This window comes from Homo sapiens, chromosome 6 (assembly GCF_000001405.40).
Source record: "Homo sapiens chromosome 6, GRCh38.p14 Primary Assembly".
NCBI classification, from domain to species: Eukaryota; Metazoa; Chordata; class Mammalia; order Primates; family Hominidae; genus Homo; species Homo sapiens.
In genome coordinates, this window is record NC_000006.12 from 151,364,115 (window position 1) to 151,376,206 (window position 12,092).

A 12,092-nucleotide genomic window follows, 5' to 3' on the forward strand; every position below is an offset into this window, starting at 1 on the left:
TACTCATTTAATTAAACGTTTATTCAATGAAAGGATGTATAAAAACTTACAAATTTGAGAACTCAACTATACATGAAATAGGATGATGGGATATTCAGTTTTTAACATATACATATACTATAGCTATTAGCTATTCTCCCCTTCTCCTTCAGTCCTTACTTCTGGCTCCTGTTTTGTCTTGTGAGGCCCTTCTTTTATTGGCCTAACGGAAGATTAATGAACAATTTTTACTGCTTTCGGGCCAATGGAGAAAATTTCAGGCATTAAGAAAGAAGAAAGAAAAAAAAACAACCAAAAACCTGGAGAATAAACATCAAAATCAAGTTTTTTCCCAAACAGCAATTAGATTTTTTGTCCTGATTTCTCTTTGCCATTTATTTTTGATGCTTCAATTAATGTTGCCAGTAAACTATCAGCATTGACTTTCAGTCATTGAAGTTACTACATCTTCTGGTCACAAATTCCCCTGTAAGATGAGTATTCCTATATCCTTTTCCCTGCAGTACACACACTGATTTAAAAGTTAGTGTAAAACAAATTATCACTGGCAGCTGCTAGAAAATGGCATGTCATGTTCTATTCAGAAAGGCAATTTATAGAATAGTACATTCAAATTTGATTTTTAAAACAAATTTGTCAGAAACTCAAATACAGCATTTTGTTGTTGCTCAACTTGGAAAGAAGCCAGCAATGAGATAAGGATGTGCATTAATTCACCTGTTTATTAGCAAGTACCCACACATTTTTCTCTTACAAACACACAAACTCACAGCTTGTCATGTTGTACCCAAAAATTAAGATTGCCATCACATTATTACTTTTTCTCCTTTTTGTTTTGTTAAAGTAGATTTCTTAACTGATGATTTCTCTTAAGTGGACATAATCTCAAAGGATGCATTCTGAAGTAAGACACCTGGAGGATGAATACTAAGAACGTTTTCTTGGGTTTAAAGTTTCCCCACACTTTCTAGATTTTGCATAGTACAGAGCCCAGCCGTATTTCTAAGCAGCACGCTGTTATTTTCTGACATTGTTTTTCTGAGAAGACTTTTTACCCAGGGAAAGTCATAATTTTAGCTTACCAAATTGGATTCCAGTTGTTTTATTATATACCCTTCATTAGTTCCAAGTATGCTTCTGAATAATCTAAAACCTCTCAAAATTTGAGTTTATAAGTATAATGACCATTATCTTTCCAATATCCCCTGAAAGAAAGTCGATACATTCCAGGTTTATAATGCACAAAGCCTTTACAGAGGTGGGGCTGGGATGTGGAAAAGGGGAAGAGGAGAAGAGAACAAGGACCTGTTTGTATCATGCCATGGAGAACTACAGTTCTGAATTCAGGGAAGGGAGGGAAGATAGTCTTTGTAAAAATGAGAGTTTTTTAAAAAGATAAGTGACATTCAGTCTAGTAAGACGGTTTCTTGTTCCTTTTTGATGGAAGCTAACACTGGGTGGTCAGGCTCCGTTACTTCCGAGTCCCCACTGCCCAGGAGAATGGATCGCCCTTCGTCTAGGGCAAAAACATCCGAGTTCTGGTTTTGGCATGAATGTTTAACAACCTCATTGGGAGTGGAGAATGTTTTGTCACACAAGTTGCATTTGTAGGGTTTGTTTGTTTGCACCAGCATGTTGTCCATCTGACTCCCTTCCTCAAATGTGCAGAGTTCCAGAGTCTGTTTGTCCACCATGGTGTAAGTGTCGATGCTCTGGTTGAGGCACACGTGGCGGGCAGCCTGGTTGGCCCTGCAAAAGCTTTTGTCACAAGTGCTGCACTTGAAAGGCTTCCCGGTGTGTATGTACATGTGTTCCCTCCAGTGGCTTTTCTGGATAAATTTGCGTCCACATATTGTGCACTCGTACTTCCGCCTCTTCACCTCCCTCTCCTGGTCGGCCTGCTCCAGGTTGTCAATGTCAGCAATGTCTGAGGGGGGTGGGGTTTCCGACTGCTGCTGCCCATCGATGATGGGAGAATCAGAGATGTGCTGCAGCTCACTGTCACTTATCATCCCGGCTTCAGGCACTTCCATGGCATCTTTCCCGAGGTCAGCTGCATTGCTACAGAGAGTCAGGGGGACGCGACTTTCTCCCTGTTGGCTAGATGTGAAAGGTACTCCTGTGTGGATCTGGAGGTGTTCACGTAAGCTGCTCCGGAGAGTGAAGCGCCGTCCACACAGGTGGCAGGCATAGTACTTTGGAAAGCTCCCATTCCTCTTCATGATGCTTGGCTTGACGTGGGCTATTGTGAGGGACGCAGGCTGCTCATCGGAGGAAGATGCTTCCAGATTGGTCTCCTCCCCGGGAGGAGGGGGAGGAACAGGAGTGGAAACAAGTTCTGGAGACAGCGAGGTCTGCAGGGGGTCTGAGGGAGTCATATTTGTCCGATTCACCTGGGCCAGATTTGAAGTCAGCTGGGAGAGCTGTGAGGCCTCAGGGACCTGCTCCTGGCTTATCCTGGAGGTCTGTGGCCGTGGATCTCGCCCGAGTTTTTCAGGTGCTGAAGCAATCTTGGTGGCTTGTCTCAACTGATGATCTGCAATCTGAATGCCATACAATGAAGAAGCCAGTGGGAAAACTTGGTCAGGGTGAGAAAAGGCTCCCTGGCTGGCGAGGCTGGCTTCCTGAATGAGCGGGTAGGCGTGCAGAAACTTGATGCCCTGTTCTAATCGAACCGGGTCGATGAGCTGAGGCGCCATCTTCCCAGTGTACATCAAGTGTAAGAGATAGCTGAAGATGTCGGGCTGTATGTCAGTTGGTTTCAAGCGGACACACTCACTGAAAGAAACAAGTAAAAAAATACGTGAGTAAATGCCAGTCTAGGTGTTAACATAAAGCCTGAAGAAAAAAATGAATGCTTAAAAACAAAGGAAACAACATTTCCTATCCTTGATTTTTAGTAAGTTTCATGAAAATGGGATGAAATAATCAAGAGACGAAGTTCACGTTAAAGAAATGTGATATCTTAATCCACAGATTCTTAGAGCAGTTTTTCTCCTAGTAAGTTAATTTTTTTTTTTTTTTGAGGCGGAGTCTCACTCTGTCACCCAGGCTGGAATGCAATGGCACAATCTCGGCTCACTGCAAGCTCCGCCTCCCAGGTTCAAGTGATTCTCCTGCCTCAGCCTCCCGAGTAGCTGGGATTACAGGCGCTCACTACCACGCCCAGTTAATTTTTGTATTTTTAATAGAGACGGGGATTCACCATGTTGGCCAGGGTGGTCTCCAATTCCTGACCTCAAGTGATCAGCCCTCCTTGGCCTCCCAAAGTGCTGGGATTATAGGCGTGAGCCACCACGCCTGGCCAAGTTAAATTAAATATTATGTATTCTATTTTTATACAGAACTCCAGGAGTTCCTTATCAAATGCCACCATCAACATCAGCACTGCTCCTGGGCTTTACAGGGATGCCTTCTCACTTGATTGTCATTCATTCTCATTTTACAGGAAAGGATTGAGGATTAGAGGGTTAATAACCTGCTCAATATCATGTAGTTGGTAAGAGGTGGAGCTGGTATTTGAAACAATGTTTGTCTAAGTCCAAAGCCACCACAGCAAGATCCTTTAGAGAATCAAAACAATCCTGTATGGTAGATAAAGTGGATTTATTTAGTCCGATTTGACAGATATGGAAACTGAGGTCCCAAAAAGTTAAGTGATTTATCTAAGGCACCTAAAGCCGTTGAAGATGCTATTAATTTTATAACTTTAGATTCTACTCCTTTTATCATTTCAGAAACATCATTCCTGATCAAGCAGTAATAATGAAGAGGTTCCCAAGAACTCTTCCCAGACCATCGGTAGTAACAAATTCTAAAGCATCATTAGAAATTAGTGAGATCTATATCCACATATCACAAGGTATATATTATATTCCACTGAGTGGATATTCTATAGACAATGCATTTCAAATTCAAAGACAGCTTCCTTGAATGCTTTTAGAATTTATAATTTTCTTTTATTATACTTTTTGTATTGTAATCTTCTTTGGCCCTTTTAGCAATCATGTTCATTTGATTAACAAATATTTTCTTTTCTTTTCTTTTTTTGAGACGGAGTCTTGCTCTGTCACCCAGGCTGGACTGCAGTGGTGCGATCTCGGCTCACTGCAAGCTCCGCCTCCCGGGTTCACACCATTCTCCTGCCTCAGCCTCCAGAGTAGCTGGGACTACAGGTGTCCGCCACCACACCCGGCTAATTTCTTTTTGTATTTTTAGTAGAGACGGGGTTTCACCATGTTAGCCAGGATGGTCTTGATCTGCTGAACTCGTGATCTGCCCGCCTCGGCCTCCCAAAGTGCTGGGATTACAGGTGTGAGCCACCGCGCCTGGCAACTTTGTTGTTTTTTGTTTTGTTTTGAGACAGAGTCTCACTCTGTCACCAGGCTGGAGTGCAGTGGCACAATCTCAGCTCACTGCACCCTCCATCCCCTCGTCCAAGTGATTCTCCTTCCTCAGCCTCCCGAGTAGCTGGGATTACAGGCGTGTGCCACCAGTCCCGGCTAGTTTTTGTGTATTTAGTAGGGATGGGGTTTTGCCATGTTGGCCAGGCTGGTCTCGAACTCCTGACCTCAGGTGATCTGCCCACCTCGGCCTCCCAAAGTGATGGGATTACAGGCGTGAGCTACTGCGCCTGGTCATTTTTCTTTCTTTTTTTTTTTAATTTTGAGACGAAGTCTTGCTCTGCTGCCCAGGCTGGAGTGCAGTGGCATGATTTTGGCTCACTGCAATCTCCGCCTCCCAGGTTCAAGTGATTCTTCTGCTTCGCCTCCCAAGTTGGGATTACAGGTGCCCGCCACCAGGCCCAGCTAATTTTTGTATTTTTTTTAGTAGAGACAGGATTTCACTGTGTTGGCCAGGCTGGTCTTGAACTCCTGACCTCAAGTGATCTGCCCATCTCGGCCTCCCAAAGTGCTAGGATTACAGGCATGAACCACCGCGCCTGGCTGACTTTGGTGTAAATTTTGTAATTCTTTTCTCATTCATTGTTGGATAGGCTGTCTTATCTATCACTTATGAATGGTGACTCAACGGTAAGCCTCTCAAATTTGAAAGAACTATGTACAGTCTCAGATGGCAAAAAAGGGACACAGCTGGGGACACCTTGGCCCACACTTTAGGCAGGCCTGGAGGGAGGACTCCAAGGGGCCAGGGAAAAGAAAGCGGCGAGTCCCTGGGGTTTACAGCCAGGGATGCGAGGGCCCAAGGAGGTCTCCAAACACCAATTTATTTTGATTAAAAACAATTTTTTTTGAGAGAGGGGGTCTTGCTCTGTAGGCCCAGGCTGGAGTGCAGTGGCATGATCATAGCTGACTGCAGCCTCAGCCTCCTGAGTAGCTCAGACTATAGGCACATGCCACTACACCCAGCTAATTTTTAAACTTTTATAGAGACAGGGCCTCACCATCTTGCCCAGGTTGGTCTTGAACTCCTGGGCTCAAGAAATCCTCCTGCCTCAGCCTTGGGATTACAGCATTGGGATTACAGGCGTGAACCACTGCACGCAGCCTTAAAAAAAAATTTTTTTTTTTAAAGCAGAAGCACATGTGCACACATACACTTAAAAAACAGGTGGAGGCTGGGCGCAGTGGCTAATGCCTATAATCCCAGCACTTTGGGAGGCCGAGGTGGGTGGATCACCTGGGGTCAGGTGTTCAAGACCAGCCTGGCCAACATGGCAAAACCCTGTCTCTATTAAAAATACAAAAATTAGCCGGGCGTGGTGGTGCGCAGCTGTAACCCCAGCTACTGGGATCGCACTCCAGCCTGGGCGACAAGAGCGAGACTCCATCTCAAAACAAACAAACAAACAAACAAAAAACAGGTAGAATTTTTCAAAGTTCCTTAATGTACATTTCAGCCATCTCCATCCCTGACTGCTTTTATTTCCAGGCAGCTTGACCTCTGTCAATCACTCAGCTCACTATGCGCCAGACTTTGGTCTTTTCCCAGTCCTGTGGAAAGGACATAGTTCTCTACAATATACTTACATCTAAGTAGTTTCCAGATATGTTTGACATAACATTTTTTTTTGTTTTGAAATGGAGTTTCACTCTTGTTGCCCAGGCTGGAGTGCAGTGACACGATCTCGGCTTACTGCAACCTCCGCCTCCCGGGTTCAAGCAATTCTCCTGCCTCAGTCTCCCGAGTAGCTGGGATTACAGGTGCACGCCACGATGCCCGGCTAATTTTTCTATTTTTAGTAGAGATGGGGTTTCACCATGTTGGCCAGGCTGGTTGACATACTTTCATGTAGGAAAAAGATGAATATAGTTTTACTACAGCTATAAGCCCTTTCGTATAAACTTCCATAGTAATTTCCGTTTTCAATTATTCCTTCACTAGAATTTTAAAAGAAATGATAGGCTTAAACAACTTTAAAAGTAAGGATTTTTGAATAACATTAGCATTGTCAGAAGGTTGTACTTAGAAAGGCCTCTCCCTCAGTGGTTTTATTTTTGATAGCTGAAAGTCTGTAGTTGTCTGTGATTTAAACATACCACTCGGAGTAGTAGACATAAGACAGGGACATCTAGTGGTAACTACAGCCAGAAATCTCCCTTGGAGCCAAACTTGAAAAAACTGACCGTATTCTCAGTCTATGTCTGAGTAGCCAGGCAGCAGTGTGTCATGCCCCACAGAGGAGGTGCTGGTTGAAAAGTACGCCCCTGGCCTTCACCCTGAGTTTGCCTTGCCTCGAGGAGCTTGAATTCTGCACTAGGAGGCAGGCAAAGCTGGCCACTAGGCATGTGTCACCTCTGGTGCAGTAATACACCTGTTGCTTTACACTGTTGTATTACACAAATATCACACCTCCTTGTTAGAAAGGCATTTATTTACTGCCCTATACTTAAAGGTGGGTTTCTTGCATCGAATTAAAACTCATTACGTAGTATTTTTGCACTCCTCAAGATTAAAATTGCCTCCTTTTCAATACCATTGAATTCACTGTGTTGAGACTGCCCAGTACAAAACCCCTACTAGGCCTTAAGTCTCTGACACACTGGAGTTAAAGGGAGCATCCTTAGTATTGCCAGAGGAGCCAACCCTCCTGGGTTATTCTGCAGTTGTCCCATCTGCTCCTCCAGACATTGATCAAGTGGCTATTCTATTGTGTGCAAATACTTCAGTCATACTGGGTGGTGGCGGCAAAGATTTGTAAAACCCAGTCCCTGCCCTCAAGAAACTTACAAGTGAAGAAGGGGGTAGGTACACACATAACAACATAGGGGAAAGGTGCACATTTGCACTCTTGTACACATATGCACTCTTATAAAGGAGCACAATTAAAGTGTTATGAGCCATAAGCGAGGACGTGGTCACTGTCGTTTGTTTTGTTTCACTTGACTGGGAGGGGTCCTGCATGAGCTGGGACTCAGGGAGTGGGCAGGATACCAGCAAAATGCGGTCCAGGTGAGCTGAAGCCATGAAAGCAGATCTGGTTAAGGTGAAGATGAGGGGTGGTGTGTCCCAGAGGGCCCAGTCGCAGATGAGACTAGAAGGAGGTTGGGCTCCAAGCCTGTGGGGCCTTGGATGACAGAATAAGGAGCCTGTGTGTTATTTTAATATGCACTGGGCATCCCCGGGGTTTCTGATCCAACGAATAACCCAGTATAGTAGGTTTCTCATCAAACACTACAGTCAAAGCAGTGTTTGGAAATACGAATCCAATAGTAATGTGGAGAATGGGTGATGAGGTAATGGAAGTGAGAAAGGAAAAGAAGTGACAAATGTGAAAGGTAATTTGAAGAAAACATGATTTGGGGACTGAGTTAAGCTTGGGATACTTGAAGATAAGAAAATAGGCAGGAGGAACTTCGGAGAAGGCCTAATTCAGTACATCCTCAAAGACACAAAAGGAGATACTCAACTCTAAATGCCCAGCACACAGCCTGAGGCCTTGGGAATAGAGTTCTGGAGACAGAACAGTCAAGGCCAGAGTTATAAACTGAAGTTTCCAGCAGAGGCGAGATCTAGGAAAAAGACACACACCCATAGGAAGGGTGCAAAAGACAAAATTTACCAAAGGCCCAGGTTTAGAGGGCAGAAAAACAAGAGATATTCAGCTATAAAAATGCAGATGACAACCACTTAAGAAGGAAGCAAACAACAGCAGATGCTGGAGGACAGGATGCTAGAAGGCTGAGAGAAGGGCAGTGGTTTTGATGAGGGGTGACCTTTGAGAAAAGACTGCAGCAGAATGAAGGAGGGGAGGAAACCACAGCGCGCACTGATAGGAAGAGTGTGGGATGAGGAGAGTGCAGGCGAGGACCTCGATTACCCTTTTAAGGGCTTTCATAGTAAAGTGAAGGAGAAGCAGCACCGTAACTCAGGCAGACAGCAGTGTCCAGGATGTGCTGATCCCACATGGGCTGGGGGCAGGGTGGGGGGTGTATGAAAACAGATAAAAAGAACAGAATAAAAATAGAGGAGTGGGAACTCCCAGCATGAGGGAAGAAGGGAGATCATTTTCCAGAGACACTGAGATGCCCTTTTCTCAAGACAGGAGAGATGAGAAGAAAGAAACTGAGCAAAGATAGAGCTGTTTTAAGATAGAAAAGAGGGAAACTGGAGAAATTCATGCCCTCGAGCTTCTTGTTAGAGGAGGAGACAAGAATAAATGCTGAAAGTCAGGGGGATACTCAGGGGACTGGGGCTGGAGGAATGAGAGATAGGGCTTAGATAATGAGTCCAGGAAAGATTACTGCTGGAAGGGTTCGCTGAGGTTGGGTGGCTGGCTTTATAATGGACCTGATCTTGCCGGGTGTGGTGGCTCACGCCTGTAATCCCAGCACTTTGGGAGGCCGAGGCGGGCAGATCACGAGGTCAGGAGATCGAGACCGTCCTGGCTAACACAGTGAAACCCCGTCTCTACTAAAAATACAAAAATATTAGCCGGGCGTGGCGGCGGGTGCCTGTAGTCCCAGCTACTCGGGAGGCTGAAGCAGGAGAATGGCGTGAACCCGGGAGGCGGAGCTTGCAGTGAGCCGAGATTGCACCACTGCACTCCAGCCTAGGCGACAGAGAGAGACTCCGTCTCAAAAAAAAAAAAAAAAAAAAAAAAAAAAAAAAAAAAATGGACCTGATTTTGCAGATCCTGACCATGCAGGTGACACCCAGCGAGGGCATCTGGAGGTGGAAGGGCTGCATAGAGCTGGCAGGTCCAGTGATTCTCAAGTGCTACTGAAAGCACCTGTAACAAGAAGGGTAGTGGGGGCGAGTGAGGCCACAAGGGAGCAGGTCACCTAGGAGCTAGGAGACGTAGAGAGACCCATGGTCTTGATGAGGGCCAGGGACATGGAGGTTAAGAAGTCTACAGTCATTAGGTTATTAGCAACCACTTTAGTTACCTGGTCTGATGGACAAACAACATCTTAAAGTAATTGGAGAATGAAGCAAGAACTGATTTGTGTGCCTTGAAGTATACATCGCCGATTGCAACCGTGCAGTCACACAGGAAACCAAACTCTCGCTGAGCGTTTAACTGTTGCAGTAGAATAAGTCCATGGTTGGCCAAATCCATTTTTTAAAAAATCTGCAAAGCAAACAATTTTATTTTTAAGAAGGTGATTCACAAATAAGAATGTGTCCTTTATAGTCACCAACAGTCATGATCATAGCTAACATGTCATCATAGCTAACGTGTCAGGCACTGCTAAAAACGTTACACAGATTAACTCATTTAGTCTTCCTAACAGTCCTCTGAAGTAGTTATGTCATTATGCCTTTAAAAAAAAAAAAAAAAAAAAAAAAAAAAAAAAAACCAGATGATGCCATTTAAAGTAAATTAGGGAGTTATGTGATTTGCCCAAGCTCACACAGATGGTAATGGAGAAGCCAGGAAATGAACTCAGGTGGTCTGCCTTTAAGCATCACGTCCTGGAGACAGACAGCAAATATCTTGGACCATCGAGTCTTTTAGTTTAAAATTCCAAATGCAAATGGAGTCTTTTAGTTTAAGATTCCAAATGGAAATTCTAATGATGCATCAGAGTTTGTCAATTCTTCCACAGAGATAGATAAATTAAGGTGTTGGGGCGGGGTCCCAGCAGGGCAGGGTGAGAATCAATAAGTCTGAGGGCCAATAGTCCAGCTCCTGCTGTGTGCTCCTGCTGGTGATGTAACAGCCCCATCACCCCTGACCCTTAACACTTACGGAGGAAGTGGGGTTGGAGCTCTGCTTCCTTCCTTGTGGAGGGAGGAAACCGGTCTTGAGAAGTATAAGTAATTTGCCCCAGGCCTTCTAGCCAAAAGGTGGGAGGGTCAAAATTTAAATGTGAATGTACTGATTCCAAATTCTATGATTTTCATTATTCACACTTGACCCTGGCAAACCCCGCTGGCCTGAGTCTATTTATAATAGAGAGGCTGCCTGACATTGCCTGGTTCATCAAATCACTAGTCTGCTCCTTTTCCACAAAGAGCATTTATAAAAGCCCATTACACACAGACCAACATTATATTTAACATTATACTTAATGGTAAGAAAGGGTGAATGCCTTCTCCATAAGATTGGGAACAAGGCAAAGATGTCCCCTCTCGATATTCAACACAGCACTGGAAGTTCTAGCTCACGCAACAAAGCAAGACAGGAAATAAAAAGCATATAGAAGAAAAAGAAAAAAATAAAATTGTCACTATTTGCAGATGACACGATTGTAACACAGAAAGTCCCAAGGCATCTATTAAAAAAAAAAAAAAAAAGGCCAGACATGTTGGCTCACGCCTGTAATCCCAGCACTTTCGGAGGTGGGCGGATCACGAGGTCAGGAGATCAAGACCATCCTGGCCAACATGGTGAAACCCCGTCTCTACTAAAAAAAAAAAAAAAAAAAAAAAACAACAAAAACAAAAAATTAGCTGGGCGTGGTGGCAGGCGCCTGTAGTCCCAGCTACTCCGGAGGCTGAGGCAGGAGAATGGCATGAACCCAGGAGGCGGAGCTTGCGGTGAGCCGAGCTCACACCACTGCACTCCAGCCTGGGTGACACAGCGAGACTCCATCTCAAAAAAACAAAACAAAACAAAACAAAAAAGACCTTGTAGAACTAATAAACGAGTTTGGCAAGTCATAAACATACAAAAAAAAATCAGCTGTAATTCTATATGCTAGCAATGAACATGTGGACTGAATTAAAAAGATAATACCATTTAAAATCACTCAAAAAATGAAATACATGGGTGTAAATCTAACAAAACATGTGCAGGACTTGCATGTTGAAAACTATAAAACACTGGTGAAAGAAATAAAGGATCTAAATAAACAAACAGATATACTATGATTATGGACAGGAAGACTCAACATGGTAAAGATACCAATTTTCCCAAACTGACATATAGGTTTGATGCCATTCCTATAAAAATCCCAGCAACATTTTTTTGTAGATATAGACAAAATTATTCTAAAATGTACATGTAAAGGCAAAGGAACTAGAATAGCTAAAATTATATATGTATATATTTAGACAAAGTTCTCACTCTTGTTGCAGGTAGCAGTGCAGTGGCACAATCTCAGCTCACTGCAACCTCCATCTCCTGGGTTCAAGCAATTCTCCTGCCTCAGCCTCCCTGGGGTAGCTGGGATTACAGGCACAGGCACGCACCACCAAACCTGGCTAAGTTTTTTTTGTATTTTTAGTAGAGATGGGGTTTCACCATGTTGGCTATGCTGGCCTCGAACTCCTGACCTCAGATGATCCACCCGCCTCGGCCTCCCAAAGTGCTGGGATTACAGGTGTGAGCCAACACGCCTGGCCTAAAATAATTTTTAAAAAAGAACCATAAAGTGGGAGAAACCAGTCTACCCAATTTCAAGATGTAGTACATTGCTATAGTATTCAAGACTGTGTGGTATTGGCAGAGGGACAGAGAAGTGAATTAATAGAACAAAACTGTGAACCCAGAAGTAGACACACATAAATATGCACAACTGATTACTGACAAAGGCACAAAAGCAATTCAGTGGAGGAAGAATAAGCTTTTCAACAAATGGTGCACGATCTACTGGACTTCCACAGGCAAAAAAGAAAAAAGACAAAGAACTTTGACACTTAAGTCTCATACTTTATATAAAAATCAACTCAAAATGGATAAC

The 12,092-nt window shown here is 43.9% G+C and overlaps 1 protein-coding gene across 5 annotated transcripts in view; it reads right to left on the reverse strand.

Moving 5' to 3' along the window:
* The window catches only part of ZBTB2 (zinc finger and BTB domain containing 2), a 27,445-nt gene continuing 15,353 nt past the window's right edge, over positions 1 to 12,092 (reverse strand). For 4 of the 5 annotated variants that reach the window (NM_020861.3, XM_005267076.4, XM_011536004.3 and 1 more), the window contains exons 2-3: positions 9,351 to 9,535; positions 1 to 2,778 (exon numbers count right to left, since the gene is read on the reverse strand). In NM_020861.3, the coding sequence (NP_065912.1) occupies positions 1,407 to 2,778; positions 9,351 to 9,523 (1,545 nt within the window). In that variant the 5' untranslated portion in view covers positions 9,524 to 9,535 and the 3' untranslated portion in view covers positions 1 to 1,406. Of the gene's footprint in view, positions 2,779 to 5,990; positions 6,241 to 9,350; positions 9,536 to 12,092 lie in introns of those variants that run through there. The other variant, XM_047419189.1, reaches the window with a different exon arrangement.